Source organism: Homo sapiens, chromosome 17 (assembly GCF_000001405.40).
Source record: "Homo sapiens chromosome 17, GRCh38.p14 Primary Assembly".
Lineage (NCBI taxonomy): Eukaryota > Metazoa > Chordata > Mammalia > Primates > Hominidae > Homo > Homo sapiens.
In genome coordinates, this window is record NC_000017.11 from 69,103,005 (window position 1) to 69,119,195 (window position 16,191).

Below are 16,191 nucleotides of genomic sequence, written 5' to 3' on the forward strand. Positions count from 1 at the left end.
TAAGAAAATACATATCAAACTTTTAAAATAAGTCATATACATAATTAAAGTTAATATTTATGGAATACTATGTATAAATGTCTTTCTTTGGGTATCACAATAATAATATTGACCCACACTGTACCATCTTCTATTTAGCAAATCTTATACCACAATGAATTAGCTTTATAAATCTGTTTAATGCAAATTAACATGTAATCATAAAAATAAGCTAATTCTATTGTATGACTTTTGGTAAACAACAACAACAACAACATTTGAATTGAATAATCTGTGGAGATACAATAATTTTATGAGGAGTACTTCAGATTGTCCAGCCTAAAACAGCCAATGATAACACTCTTCTCTCTTCCTTGTTCTTCCAAATAATGGACAAGTAAATATATATGTGTCTGTATAACACATACATATGTTTTACTTTATTCTAAACATTTACGTACATATTCCATACATGTATGTTGTATAAATATAATCTTTCTTAGGAAATGAAAAAGGATGCCATCATCAGATCAAACTTTTAGATATGACCCTGAAGAAGAAAGCAGATGAGAACGTCTGACCGTGAAATACGAGCTGAGAAAAATTCACAGCCTAGAGCACACCAGAGCAAGCAGCTGAAGGTAAAACCAATTTCCAGGATACCTGAACTCAGAGTGGATGAATGCAAGGGGGTAAGGTATGCTCTGAAGCTATAGTCAGGGTCGTGACGTATACCTGGGAAAAGATGACCCGTCAGGCCCCTCCCCACGTTCCACACAGAACACACAGTAGCCGCAGTTGTCCCCAGGGTAACAGTCCCATATTTACTTACTGAGAGACCTTATCTGAGGAGCACAGCTGGGCAAACCTGAAGTAACTGCAGACAATAATTTGAGCAAGATGGAATGAATAAGAGGAAAAGAAGGACTTTTTTTTTTTTTGCCTTTGAAATGGGAGTTTATAGTGGGCTCTGGGATTGGAAAAATAAGGCCAAACCTTAGATGAATTAGGATCCCCCAACCAAGTGATACAGGAACATGCACATAGAAAATAAGCTTTCCATGCACCTTGAGCAGCCACACACCCCACTCCACCTCCACAGTCACTTGAGGTGCAATGCCATATGGTGACCCACATTCACCTAGGCAGACAGGGATGCTCACATTAAAAGATAAACGTGTTACCAATAATTGGCAGATTTTGAGAAAAGAGGAACAAAATGGCACAGAAGCTTCAAACTTAAACCATAAAATACCTAAGTACAGAGACAAAATAAATATATTAACACAAGCCCACTGCCCTCAAGAGTGACCAAAGAGGAAAAGAGAGACCTAATTTACTTATCTTATGAGCTCATAGGTAAAGAAACCTTTCTAGATCTCAGAAATTAAACATACAATTAGCATTTAAGGTAGTGAGGTGAATAAAATTTACTTTCCAAAACCCAAATGGAAAACAAGAATGAGAAACGGAAAGGGAAAGACTGTCTTTGTTTAAAGAGCATACACCGCAGGCCTGAATCGCAAATCCATGGGAAAATCAAATGAATGAGGAACTCAGCAAGGGAAGACTCTTACTGTGATTTTTTTTTTGTTTCTTTGTTTGTTTGTTTGTTTTAACATCTGAGGTACTAACATAAAAGTTCCTTCTTCAAAGTTAATTAAGCGGTTAGGAAAAAAACAAAAAAACAAAAAAACAATTACTGGCCGGGCGCAGTGGCTCACACCTATAATCCCAGCACTTTGGGAGGCCAAGGAGGGCAGATCACTTGAGGCCAGGAGTTCAACACAGCCTGGCCAACATGGCAAAACCCCATCTCTACTAAAAATACAAAAAAAAAAAAAAAATTAGTCAGACGTGATGGCACGTGCCTGTAATCCCAGCTACTCGGGAGGCTGAGGCAGGAGAATCGCTTGAACGTGGGAGGTGGAGGTTGCATTGAACCAAGATCACACCACTGCACTCCAGCCTGGGTGACAGAGCAAGACTCTGTCTCAAAACAAAACAAAAACAAAACCAATTACCCATTGTTTGGGATAACAAAATAAGGCATCTTCCTGTATCTTGTACTTAATGAAGGGGCATGGGGAATAGATAGGCCATCTTCACATGGTAACCAGTGTGTATTGCCTTTGTGGTATAGGTTAGGCTGCTGTGTAACAAAGGGATCTCAAAATAGAACGGGTGTGCCAATATAGAAGTTTATTTGCCATGTAATAGCTTAGGGTAGTCAGGTAGAGAGACGTCTTTACTCTTCCAGGTTATACAGTGACCCAAGTTCTTTTTCTCTTGTCCTCATCATCCCTGTCATCTCCAAAATCAGAGTAAATCTGCACTGTTCCTCATAAGGTGTTTTCTATAAATGAAGTTTAAATACCCATTTTCTTCTCTTATGATTCACTTCCCCCCCCCACCTCCTGTGCTATTCAACAATAAAAATAACTTATTTCTGGATTTAAATTTTATTTTTCTTTTCACCTGTGTTATTGATGATCAACAGGCTGGTACGGGGTTCCTGGGGAAGTTGTCCAGGAGAGAGAAAATACAATTCGTTTTTAAATTCCCAATCGATCTTTTCATTTAACATAGCATACATTATATTTTCAACAATCAAAGGGAATATTGCGATTCCAAATACCAATAATCTAAACAATAAAGAAAAATTAGCATATTAATCTCCAGGAATTTTATTTATTTAGTAAGACATTCCACAAGTATTTGTTGAGTGCCAAGCCTGCCTTATGCCAATCATGATTCTAGGTGCTAAAATTCTGAAGATAATACCCTAGCATGCTACACAGTACCAGAAGGCATTACTATATAAACACCAGGTTATCAAACCATGAAAACAAAACACACCTGCACGTATAAGCTTAATCGAGTGTGAACATACAGGTATTCCCACTGTCAGAAAAATTAAATGCTGAATTTATCCACCCCGTGGCAGGAATGTCAGATATTGCGTTCTAGTTTTAAATTATCTTCTGGTTTGAACCTCTTTTGAAATTCATGATCTAACAAAACCACAGTACTCTCCTACTCACAGGGTCAATAACACTTTAGTTTGACGTTTTAACTTTAAGAAACGGAGCCGTGCCATGGCAAAGACTTGCATTCTCCAGAGGCCCATGTCACTCACAGCTGTCTGCATTTCAGAGAAGGAAGAGTGAGCCAGCTCCATTTCATTGAGGCTTTCTGAGTCTCTTATCATCTCCACTTGTTCGAAATCTATAAACACACACATACACAAACACACATATTATAATATTAATGCCATCCTGGAGGCATCACAGATTTTCCTTAGTAATATTAAAAATAGTATTACATGGCCAGGCATGGTGGCTTATGCCTGTAATCCCAGTACTCTGGGAGACCAAGGTGGGTGGATCACCTGAGGTCAGGATTTCAAGACCAACCTGGCCAACATGGCTAAACCCTGTCTCTACTAAAAATACAAAACTTAGCTGGGCGTGGTGGCAGGTGCCTGTAATCTGAGCTCCTCAGGAGGCTGAGGTAGGAGAATCGCTTGAACCTGGGAGGGGGAGGTTGCTGTGAGCCGAGATTGCACCACTGCACTCCAGCCTAGGAGACAGAGCAAGACTCCATCTCGAAAAAAAAAAAAAAAAAAAGTTTTACATTTGTTTTTATTTTTATAACCAATTCAAAGGAATTATTTAGACAATATTTTTCAATATTTATTGTTTATACTTCACCACTGCCATCTATATTTTCTTTCTATAGTGAAGTTTTATAATTGCCAATGGTGATAAAAAATTAAAATTTTAAATAAAACAAAGTTTTAGATTGCTTGTGGTTACAGTGCAAACAATATAAGAAACATGTTATGATGTCCATATTCTATACTCAGTGAGAAAATACACTGAATTCATACCAAAAGAATAATTCACAAAAATGGTGATCTCATTGTGCCCAATCTTTGAAAAGCAAAGAAATTCCCAAGAGTATCATTCCTCTGAGGGATTTTTAAAAAATCTTCTGCATAAAAATAGCCAATCATTACACCTAAATATCTACTACTAAGGTATCAATCATTTAGTAGTATAGGGGAAAGATCATCAGCTCTGAACTACCAGATCTGTACATGTATCTTACATCTGTGATTGGGGAAAATCACTTAACTGCTCATAGGTCTGATTTTCTCATTTGTAAACCAGTGCCAATGACACTTCTTGGAAAGGTTATTATAGGAAAGATAATGTTGAAGGCATATATATCAATGTATAGCCATACATTAATCTAAGTGTCTGGCATAAGAGGAGCTCCATAATGACAATGATTATTATCACCCATTAAAATATACAAGAGTGGATACTGAGAATTCTCCCCACTAAGACTTTAGTGGAATTTTGTATATTAACAAGCTAACAGCAATTTTTATTTTTAAAAAATATATTCAGACCTCATTCCCCTAATTAAGAGCCTTTCACAGCCTGAAGGTATCTAAGAAGCAGGGAACATCTGAGGATAGGAAATAGTTTCCAAAAGGAAACTTGGTAGATGCCATGAAGGGATCTGTGATCAGTCTTAGTAATGACGCTAAGAAATAATGACAGCCCATCTCAAACAGCAGAGCCAAATTTGGAATGAAATCACATTTCTTAGTGTGAATCACCCATAAGAAATTATAAATACTAAATTGACACATGATCATTTGGGAATTGGTTTTCTGTGAATTATACAAATGGCTTTACCTTGTTCGATAGTTGACTGTCCTTCCAGTTTCATAAAGACTTCATTTAGAGTTGACATGGAAATGTCATAACCTGTCACTCCCTGGTCAGAACACTTATCCAGATCACTGAAAAGATCTAAGGCAAAAAAATATGAATAGATACTTTGGAAAACCACATTGAGAACTAAACCAAGTAAATTAATACTTATTTAAAAGACAATACATAATATTGTTAAGAAAATTATGTCCTTGGAGTATCACAGTAGTCAAAAGCAAAATTTCATGAGAATGCTCTCCTTCTCTGAAATGACTAAGGAAGACCTCTTCCTCCATCCTCAAACTGTCTCACTTCATCTTCCATTCTCAGTTTATGAGCTTCCTGCAGATTTCTCTGCAGAAATCTGAACAATCAGAAAGACCATTATCTTCTCACCTCCACACTACAAACCCACGTATATCTCTACCTATATTCTGGGTCTTCTCTCTGTATAAGTCTTTCAATGCTTTCTCAATGCATTTAAAATAAAATTTAAAGTCAATAACACAACCTCTGAGGCTCCAAAAGAGCCTGTCTCCATCTATCCACACAGCCTTACCCACCTCCATTTGCCATTCTGCTCCCTCACTCATTGCCCTCCAGCCATTCTCCTTTCCCCTTGACTTGGAGTGCCCTTGACCATTTTCTTCTTGTGGCCTTCAGTGACCACTCTATATAAACCTCAGCCAGACACCAGTCATCACTCTAACTCACTGGCCTTGTTTATTATTTTAGTGTACAATTGTTGAAAAATTTTGTGTATTTTGTGTGTCTACTTTTCCCTATCTAGTTAGATGTAGGCTCCATGAGAGTAGAGACACATATCTCTTATTTAATGTGGTATTTCTAGTTCCTGGAGCAGTGCCATTTATATAATAGTTTCCCAGTACACATTTATTGGGTAACTCTTCTATGGAGATACTTGCATGAGACTGCAGGATTCTAGAAGACTCTTAGATGCTACTTTCTAGTTTGGGTGGGAGGATGGGCCAATGACATTATTGAGAGGAAAGAGGTGGATGAGACTGTAGCAAACACTGTGTTTCCCTATGACCCGCACATGGCAGCAATGGACCTGGGAGTCCCATGTCCGGAAATGGACATAAGCATGCCATTAGACAGCAGAGGCCTTGGGTCTGTGTAAAGAGGCTGCCATGGGCCAGGAGGTCAACACCAGAGACTCTGGCAAAGTAACATATTCCAGTGGTAGTACCAACATATAATTCCTTATTCTCCATCTCTGACCAAAAATGAAAGTGGACCAGTTGCACCTCACAGGGCCTTAGTCCAAGAACAAAATAACATGGCATAGTCCACTGATCTGAGAAGAACACCATCTTCTATGCTACTACAAGGACATAGAGAGCTGCCACATTGGGGAGTGAAGCTAAAATCTGGGAATTCCTGAGTATTTGCCTAATGAAACCGAATTATGCAAAAGAGCTTATTTAAGGTAGGTCTATAGGGAGTTATACCTTTAACAAACTAGATGTTTAAACCAAAGGGAAGCTGTTTAAATCAAGAGACTGAAATATATTTCCTCATTTGTAAGATAGGGCAAGTTATAGCACCCATCTCATAGAAAGAACAGTTGTGAGAACTAAAGGAGTTAATATATATGAAACCATTAGAACAGTGCCTAACACGTAGAAAACATTACACAAAGAGCAAGTAATCTTTAGGATTTCTTATCAAACAAAGTCTGAATGGGTGCTGCTACCCAGTTGGCAGGGAACCGAGGGTTGAACACTTTTGTAGACTATGTAAGTTGTTTTTCTCTGCAAAATAGTACATGCACAATTAAAATAGAGTAATCCTGCCTTATCTACAGTTTCATTTTCCACAGTTTCAATTATCCACCATCAACTGCTGTCTAAAAACATAAAATGGAAAATTCCAGAAATAATTCATAAGTTTTCAGTTGTGTGCCCTTGTAAGCAGTGTGATGAAATCCTTCGCCATCACACTCCATCTTGCTCAGGCTCAGGACGTGAATCATCCCCTGTCCAGCAGAACCGAGCTATACCCACCTGTCACTTAGTAGCCCTCTGGGATATCAGAGCAACTGTCACGGTATTGCAGTTCAAGGCACCCCTATTTTACCTAATAAGGTTCCCAAAGTGCAAGAGTAATGATGCTGGCAATTTGGATATGCCAAAGAAAAGCCATAAAATGCTTCCTGTAAGTGAAAAGGTGAAAGTTCTCAACAAGGAAAAAAAAAATCTTATGCTGATGCTAAGATCTAACGTAAGAATGAATCTTCTGTCTGTGAAATTGTGAAGAAGGCAGAAGAAATTCATGCTACTTTTGCTGTTGCACCTCAAACTGCAAAAGTTACAGCCACAATGCGTGTTAAGTGCTTAGTTAAGATAGAAAAGGCATTCAGTGTGTAGGTGGAAGACATGAACAGAAATGTTTTCCGATCGATGGCAATTAGGTTTGGTTCTATCCACGGTTTCAGACATGAACTGGAGATCTTGGAACTATCTATTCCTTGTGAATAATGGGGGGCTACCTTACAAAGAGAAACCTGTAGCAGAAACCTTTATGCCCCACCAACACCTCTTCTGCATTCACCTGTACACGGTAAATCTGCTTATTAAAAACACCTACCTGAGGTCCTTTTTCTGTACTTGGAAGTATTCTAAGCTCATGTTCAGAGTAAGCCAGAAGGATGAGAAAGTTAATGCTCTCGTAGGCATCCCTTAATCAACAATGGATAGGGAACAGTGGGTAAGAACCCCAGCTTACTCACCCCTCTGGTGACAAAACGCTGAGCCCACTTACTTCATTTATTTCCCTCCCGTGGGCATTGCACCTCAATTGCCTACCACAGTAATCTGCTCCAGAATTCAGACTTCCCTGGCTGCCTTCCCTTCCCTCTCTCCTGTCCCCATTATCTGCTGGTGCTTCCACGAAGCAACTACCCAATAAATCAGTGGCACTCAATCCTTCCTCTTGAGTTCTGCTTCTCAGGTGGCCAAAACTAAGAAAAAGTCTAAATTCATTGGACAAAGAAAATTATTTTAATAATAATGTGAACATTTTTTCCCATATTTCATTTCATTGTAATCATAGTTGAGTTACCTGGAAATGTATTTGTCCTTTCCAGTGGCAAAGTATATACAAGCTTTTCTTTGTTTTCTGTTTTTAATTTAGCATCGGGGATGTGATGAGTAATGAAGGATGTTATTTGTTCTGGGTTACATATTTCATTCCTATGTAAACTAATATTTAAAAGAAAAGATAAGTCATTTGCATTTTCTCCACCACTATCACAAAAGAAGAGCTTTAATTGAACACCTAGCTGTTGAGCACAACTTTACTTGGCTTTATGGAACAAAAAGATGAGTAAATACTAACATGATAGTAATCTATCAGTTTGAAAATTTTATAATCTATATATGGAAAATGTATAAGCTCAGAACAATTACAAAATATACAAACAAATATATAATGTAAATGGAACTATATAGAGTTTTATATGTATAGTTATAGATAAATGTAGGAAGCTGAGAATGTTAGGAAGAAGAGACTTCTTAGGGAAAATAATTATTATACCAGACCATATCATTAGCTAGTAGAGAAAATCTGGCCCACATGCATGCTTTGTTTGGCCATAGGGTTATTTTAAACAATTATTTTAGCCTGGATATACACCAATATGGTTTGGCTGTGTCCCCACCCAAATGTCATCTTGAATTGTAGTTCCCATAATTCCCACATGTCATAGGAGGGACCCAGTGGGAGGTAACTGAATCATAGGCAGTTACCCTCATGCTGTTCTCATGATAGTGAGTTCTCATGAGATATGATGGTTTTATAAGGGGCTTTTCCCTGCCTTCAGTCTGCATCTGTCCTTGCTGCCACCATGTGAAGAAGGGCGTGTTTGCTTTCCCTTCTGCCATGATTGTAAGTTTCCTGAGGCCTACTCAGCCACGCCGAACTGTGAGTCAATTAGATCTCTTTCCTTTATATATTACCCAGTCTCGGGTATGTCATTAGCAGCATGAGAACAGACTAATATATACACTTTTTTGTTAGCCACAGTTATCATTACTTTCTGCCCCTAGATTCTCTCCTTGTTGATACTGGCTTCTGAAATTATTTGCCTTTTTGCCCTATGAAAGAATGAAAACATATTTCAGAATTCTATGGATCAGCTGAGGAAAATGTGGGTAGGAAGCAGGTAGAGGTTTAGGCTGCACAGAACAGCTACCTAGAAAAGTGGCACATGAAGTAGTCTTGCTGTGAAAAGTCAGGCTTGGTTTATCATGTTGAAATGTTGCCAATGATTAACATTGTAAAGACACAGGAGGAAGGAAAGTAAAAAAAAGTATTCAGGAAACACTGATCAATCCAGTATGGTAGAGATGAAGCACGAGGCCAGTTCTGTTTCATAATTGTCCACCTTTTTCATATACCAGTATTGCAAACACATAAATCCAATCTATTCCCAAAGTCTTTACCTTAGGTGATATCCAAGACCCCACCTTCTTTTCAAAAACATAGAAGAACCTGCACACTTCAGTCTCCCATTGGACATGATCACTTTTCTATCTGAATGAAAGAAATCAAGGGAGAAAAGATATTGGGGGTCATTTCTTCTTTCTCTAGTAAAGAAAGACGAGGAGCCAAGGCTCAGAAGTGCAAAGGAGAAGTATTCAACAGGGTATAACTAGATCTAGTGTGCATTTTAACATTTGAAATACATATTAAAATTGATGCATTTAAAATGAACTCATGATATTATTCAGCCATAAAAGAGAATGAAACCATGTCTTTTGCAGCAACATGGATGGAACTGGAGTCTATTATCATAAGTGAAACAACACAGAAACAGAAAGTCAAATACTGCATGTTCTCATTTATCAGTGAGAGCTAAAAAATGGGTACACATGGACATACAGTGTGGAGTAATAGACACTGAAGACTCGGAAGGGTGAGAGAGTCAGAGGGGGATGGGGAATGAGAAATTATTTAATGGGTACAATGTATATTATTTGGTGATGAATACACCAGAAGCCTGGACTTCACCACTACATAATATATCCATGTAACAAAACGGTACTTGTACTCATTAAATTTATACAAATAAATTAAATTTAAAATAAAATAAGCTCATGAACACCAGTCTATCTGCACCTTCCAATACTTTCTGAAAAAAAAAACACATAAATTACATGGTATACTGTATACTCTGATGCTAAAGAATAAGTGTCTATTTTTCAATTAAATATATATAAAAAAAGATTTGAATGTTTAAATTAATTGACAGCTGATCTAAAAAAAAAAGGTAATCAGAATTTTTCATTAGTTGTCACTACCTAGCAAATGTACAACCAGAAAGGAATTCCACAGTGGAACTAGACTCCTGTCGTCCTCCTGACTGCTATAGAATGTAGGAACATCACCATAATGAGAGCAGGGCTCTTACCCTGGGAATAGACCTCGCTTCTAAATTCCCCAATTGCATCATGGTAACACTGAGATAAAACCAACAATTACCAGCCAGGATGTCAGCCTCATCCATGGACTGGGTACTGAAAAGGATCACATGATCTGCTCTACGCTCTCTCAGGAGGCTCCACACTTGATCTCTGGAAAAGGGATCCAATCCAGTAGTTGGTTCATCTAAAAGCAAAATCTACAGAGAATGAAGATATATAAAATATGTCTCTCTTTCACATTAACTGTATCCAGAAGATAGCATGAAAAACAATAAATACCATAAAATAATAACCATCCAGCCATTTTTCTCCAATATACTTCTATTTATAGTTAAACATAGCAGGTTCTCTCTTGATGCATTACAATGAAAGCTCTACCACTTTTAGTGGTAAAAGAACTTGACATTTTGCAGACATTCGACCTGCTTCCTTCCCCATGCATAATCTCACTTACTTGAGGATCTCCTAAAATGGTAATCCCAAAAGTCAGCTTTCTTTTCTGTCCTTCACTTAAATGTTTAGCAAGGTTATCTTGAATGTTTTGCATGTCCAATTCCAATAATATTCGTTGTACCTATATGAGAAAATACGCAACTTTTAAAATCCAAAATGAAGAAGACATTTATGCAGCCAAAAGACACATGAAAAAATGCTCATCATCACTGGCCATCAGAGAAATGCAAATCAAAACCACAATGAGATATCACCTCACACCAGTTAGTATGGCGATCATTAAAAAGTCAGGAAACAACAGGTGCTGGAGAGGATGTGGAGAAATAGGAACATTTTTACACTGTTGGTGGGACTGTAAACTAGTTCAACCATTGTGCAAGTCAGTGTGGCAACTCCTCAGGGATCTAGAACTAGAAATACCATTTGACCCAGCCATCCCATTACTGGGTATATACCCAAAGGATTATAAATCATGCTGCTATAAAGACACATGCACACGTATGTTTATTGTGGCACTATTCACAATAGCAACACTTGAAAACAACCCAAATGTCCAACAATGATAGACTGGATTAAGAAAATGTGGCACATATATACCATGGAATACTATGCAGCCCATAAAAAATGATGAGTTCATGTCCTTTGTAGGGACATGGATGAAGCTGGAAACCATCATTCTCAGCAAACTATCGCAAGGACAAAAAACCAAACACCGCATGTTCTCACTCATAGGTGGGAATTGAACAATGAGAACACATGGACACAGGAAGGGGAACATCACACATGGGGGCCTGTTGTGGGGTGGGGGGAGGGGAGAGGGATAGCATTAGGAGATATACCTAATGTTAAATGACGAGTTACTGGGTGCAGCACACCAACATGGCACATGTATACATATGTAACTAACCTGCACGTTGTGCACATGTACCCTAACTTAAAGTATAATAAAAAATAAAAATAAAATCCAAAATGATTCATATTATGCAATTTTAACCACTCATTAAAGCAGTCGATATTTGTTATGGGACCTCTTTGCCTAAATTTTATTCATAACAGGGCAAATAAATCATTGAAGAGAATTCTGTGGTCATGATTTAATTTGGTAAGTGGTTGGCAGGTCAGTTAATCCAAGCATGCCCTCCTACCTCTTGTTCCACTTCCTTTAGATGAATCCCTTTTATTTTAGCAAACAGGCTGAGGTTTTCCTTCACGGTGAGTATGTCAAATTGAACATTGAATTGAGGACAGACGCCAGTTATCTTTCTGATTTCCTCCAAGTCTTGCATTTCAGAGAGATTTTTATTATAGATGGTAACTGATCCTAAGAATAGAAGTTAAAAATAAAATTGGCAAGATAATACATTCTATTAATATTCATAGATCTCATTTAAGAAAATATTGGCATATGTTCACAAATGTCTAAAATGATTTGTGAACTACTATTCTTGACATAAATATATGCTTATAGAACTGCATATATGTGAACACAATTTGTGAACTACTAATTATTCTTGTTACAAACATATGCTTATAGAACTGCACATCTACCCTGAAATATCACACAATGGAATAAAGATAATAATTTTTATAAAATTGCAGAAATATGAAGTATATTCAAAATTATGTAGCTCTTGGAAACAACTTTAGATAAACATTATTTCTCTTAAGCCATCAAATTTAAAATTTAAAATGAGAGGCATATGCTTGACCTCATTCTATTATAAGACATCTTGCCTTTGAGAAATTTCTTTTTACTCACCTTCTGTTGGAACAGACAATCCATTAAGAATATTTAGCAGTGAAGATTTGCCAGCTCCACTGTGACCCAGGATTGCCGTGATTTGACCTTCATATATGTCAAAGAGCAAGCCTATTTTTAGAACAAATTGTTAACAAATTATTAACAGTATAAACAGAAAGGCATTAGACAGGCCTGGTCCCAACATAGAACAAGGCTATTTAGTTTAGTGGCATATTTCTCAGCATTTCAATACTTTAAAATACACAATGATCAATATTTTCCTAATTGCCAAAATAATATGTGACAGAACTATAATAATTAAAATAATATGTTACTGGTGCAGGATATAGTGACCAATGGAACAGAACAGAAGTCTAATATGGACCAAAGAAAATATAAAAATAAAGATTAATAAAATGACCTTTCAAATGTATTAGAAAGATGGTTTATTTAATAAATAATATTGGGACAACTAAACAAATACATTAACAAATTTTATGTTTGTAATTTTTTTTTTTTGTTACAGGATCTCATTCTGCCACCTAGACTGGAGTGCAGTGGAGCAATCACAGCTCACTGCAGCCTCAATCTCCCACGCTTAAGCAATTCTCCCACGTCAGCTCCCTGTAGCTGAGACTATTGGCCCACGCCACCACACTTGGCTAATTTTTGTATTTTTAGTAGAGACAGGGTTTTGCCATGTTGCCCAGGCTGGTTTCAAACTCCTGAGTTTAAGCAATACACCCACTTCGGGATTTACAGATGTGAGCCACCATGCCTGGCCTGTAATTTTTAAATGCAAAGTATACGGTGTTTTCCAGGGTAAGAGGGAAGTGATACTGGCTGTTGGGACTGACCCACAGTAACTGGAAAAATTAAATAGAAGCCTCAGTTTCGTCATCTGCAAAGTGAGAGATATATTAACATGTCTTTCACAGGCCTAAATGTAAAATGGTACATGTAAATCACTTAGCATAGTTTCCCGCACACACCAAATCCTCAATGAAATCTAAGTGTTTATTGCTATTGTTGTCGTTGTCATTATTATTCATTATGTATTGCTTGTGGGAGTATGACTTTTTATGATTTTAGAGGGAAATAATTTGAAATATGAATCAAGAATCTTGAAAGTATGCTTCCTTTGAATAATTCTGCTTCTAGAAATTTATATTCAAGAAACAATTTATGACATTTACAAAGATTGAACAAGGCTGTTCATTCTAGTATTTTTTATTACACTAAAAATTGGAAACAAATTGAATCTCATACATTGGTGTGTTAATAAGTTAGTCGTGGTATCCATATAATGGAATGGTACTTAGCTTCTGAAAAGTAGGCCATAGATAAAAGATTTCAAAAGTGTGTCCCAAAGGTGTTGCAGATGTGCTCCAGAAACTAACTCCATGAGGAAGGAAGAGGAGGCTAAGGGATTGCAACTTCTTCCCTGATTTCCCAAAGAGCAGCTATACTTGGTTTGAATTCATAATCATATTTTTAATGTGTTGATGTCCAATGCTTTTAATTTTTTAAGGTGCTGCTATTTTTAAAATGAACAAAATTCTTAAAGAAGTTTTTTGTTTAGACAAAAAGAAGTTCATGACTTGATGAGTACAAAGGTAGTTCAAAATGTGCTCCAAAACTTTAAGTAATCAATTTAAAATTATTTCAGTATCTCCTGAGCTAACATTAAAGAAAGAAATCACAGCTCTAGATGGTATTTGATGAGAGAAACCTAGAGAGAGAATAAAATTGCTCATACAAATACATTAAATTCTCAAAGACCTAATCTAAAAGCAATGAATAAGACTGAATTAGAGGATGCTGTATTTATTAGAAAATACACGCAATATAAACACAATGGTCGGAGAACTCTACACTTCTGGAAGGTTCATGGCTCTTCTTTTTCAGCTTTTAAGGCTTCTGTCTTTTATAAAAATCATTTTTATCCCTCCTAAAAATTATTTTTAATAAAAGTAAATAGTCCTCCATGAAATCTAGCTACTCACTTTGATGTTTGCTTAAATGTCTGTTATAGAAAACTGTATGTTAGAATATTTTGTATCAAAATGTGTTTTTTCATTTCAAATTATAACTTAGGTTTGTTATAGGATATTGACTTGTGAAATTTAATTCATAGTCAATGGTTTTACTCATCTTGCTTTAGTTAACCTCACCAGTACATATAAACTATGTAAATTCACCGGCTAGTATAAAACCTTTATCAGATTTCAGTCTAGATGTTCTTTCCTCACAGTGACAATATATAAAATATTGTTCATAGCAGATTAATCTTTAAAAACAAAGAGAAATTACATCTTTCATTGTATGATACCACTGTTATAAATTAATAGATTCATGAAATATCTGGAAGAATTTTACAGCATATTCTTAATCATGATTAATGTCCAAGTGATAGCGTTATTTATATTCTTTTTTCTTTTGCTTATCTACATATTTCAAATTTTTTCACATTGAATGTTTCCCTTTTTTATAATAAAGAAAGAAGTGAAAGAATGAAATTTTTCAATGTTTTTCTTTACCTTTCAATGCTTCCACTTTTCCAGATTTTCCTTTATATTCCTTCTTAACATTTCTGATTCTGAAATAACAAAAAGGGTGCTTACTTAGCCAACACAGAAGTGAAAATAGCACGGGCCATTTATAGCCCTAGTCATAGTGATAACTGCAGCCAACCACTTTATGTGAAATAAGGGATGGCATAAACAGTCTATTCAGAAAGAAAAAACCCTATTTTTGATTACTTATTTCCCCTGAGGTAGAAAATAGAGGAGTCTCTCTCAAGTTACAATTAAACTACTAGTATTTTGCCTAGAAAAGTAGAATGCTGTGTAATTATCCTCACTTTCTTCCTCTAGCTTTAGAACAGTTGGTTCTTCCCCCTGTTCAAGATCAGCTCATTTACCTAGGGTCTTGAACTGGCATCCTGCATCGTCTCCAAGTCTTGCTTATTAGTTTATGAGTCAGACACTCTGTCACCTGCATCTTTTATAGTGTTCTCTCTAATAGTTCCTCTTTGAACTCACCTCTACTTTGGACACAATTTAATTTCTCTCCTCCCTGTATTGTACAAAATTCTCAAAATAAACTTGCCATTGTAAACTTGCCATTTTCACTTCCTGACCTTTAATTCCTCTTCAATTGCACTCTGATTTCTGAACTCACCACTCCAGTGAACCACTTCATAATGAAATCATTAGTGACCTCCTAATTATAAAATACAACAAATACTTTTCCATTCTTACAGTGGATTATGAGTCACTGTTGATGACTTTCTCTTTGTTAATGGTGACTTAATTGCTTTGCTTCTTATTTTTCTAAATGTTCCTTCTCTGTTTCCTAATAAAGTCCTCTTCCTTCATCAGACACATCAGCTTGATATTCCACAGGGTTCTCCATGTATATGATGGATCTTCTCATTTGAGACTCTCTCCAGAAGTTTTCTCGTTGGATTTTTTGTTTTAGCATCAACCTAATGCTGACCCCACCCTTTTCATTGATCTTTAGATTCACACATCTAATGGTTTGCTGCATAGATAGTCTCTCTCTCTGTCTCTCTCACACACACACACACACAGACACACAGCTCTTAATCAGTGGTTGTTAATTGTGAATACACATTAGAATTCCAAAGGGAACTGATGCCTGCAAACAACATCTGAGATTCATATTATATTCACATTAATTACTTCTCTGCAGAGTTCACAGAAAAAAGATTCACATTAATTGATCTGGGGTGATGAGTTTTTCTTGGCAGTGAAGGCTGAGGATTGGGATATTTTAAATGTTCTTCCAAATGAGTCTAATGTGAAGCCAGGTT

General features: G+C 36.6%; 1 protein-coding gene across 1 annotated transcript in view, besides 2 other annotated features; it reads right to left on the reverse strand.

Annotated features, from left to right (window-relative positions):
- Positions 1 to 16,191, reverse strand: part of ABCA6 (ATP binding cassette subfamily A member 6) — a 63,194-nt gene that overhangs the window by 24,303 nt on the left and 22,700 nt on the right. The window contains exons 11-20 of the mRNA NM_080284.3: positions 14,894 to 14,952; positions 12,372 to 12,482; positions 11,758 to 11,933; positions 10,614 to 10,733; positions 10,218 to 10,356; positions 9,179 to 9,269; positions 7,797 to 7,936; positions 4,692 to 4,808; positions 3,024 to 3,207; positions 2,458 to 2,624 (exon numbers count right to left, since the gene is read on the reverse strand). Of these exons, the coding sequence (NP_525023.2) occupies positions 2,458 to 2,624; positions 3,024 to 3,207; positions 4,692 to 4,808; positions 7,797 to 7,936; positions 9,179 to 9,269; positions 10,218 to 10,356; positions 10,614 to 10,733; positions 11,758 to 11,933; positions 12,372 to 12,482; positions 14,894 to 14,952 (1,304 nt within the window). The remainder of the gene's footprint in view (positions 1 to 2,457; positions 2,625 to 3,023; positions 3,208 to 4,691; positions 4,809 to 7,796; positions 7,937 to 9,178; positions 9,270 to 10,217; positions 10,357 to 10,613; positions 10,734 to 11,757; positions 11,934 to 12,371; positions 12,483 to 14,893; positions 14,953 to 16,191) is intronic.
- Positions 644 to 938: an enhancer, noted in NCBI's record as "tiled region #12590; K562 Activating DNase matched - State 5:Enh". NCBI's record gives its function as "activates a minimal TATA promoter and a strong SV40 promoter by Sharpr-MPRA in K562 cells {active_cell/tissue: K562}" and the evidence as "EXISTENCE:reporter gene assay evidence [ECO:0000049][PMID:27701403]".
- Positions 15,059 to 15,248: an enhancer, noted in NCBI's record as "active region_12652". NCBI's record gives its function as "activates an Ori minimal core promoter by ATAC-STARR-seq in GM12878 lymphoblastoid cells {active_cell/tissue: GM12878}" and the evidence as "EXISTENCE:reporter gene assay evidence [ECO:0000049][PMID:35858748]".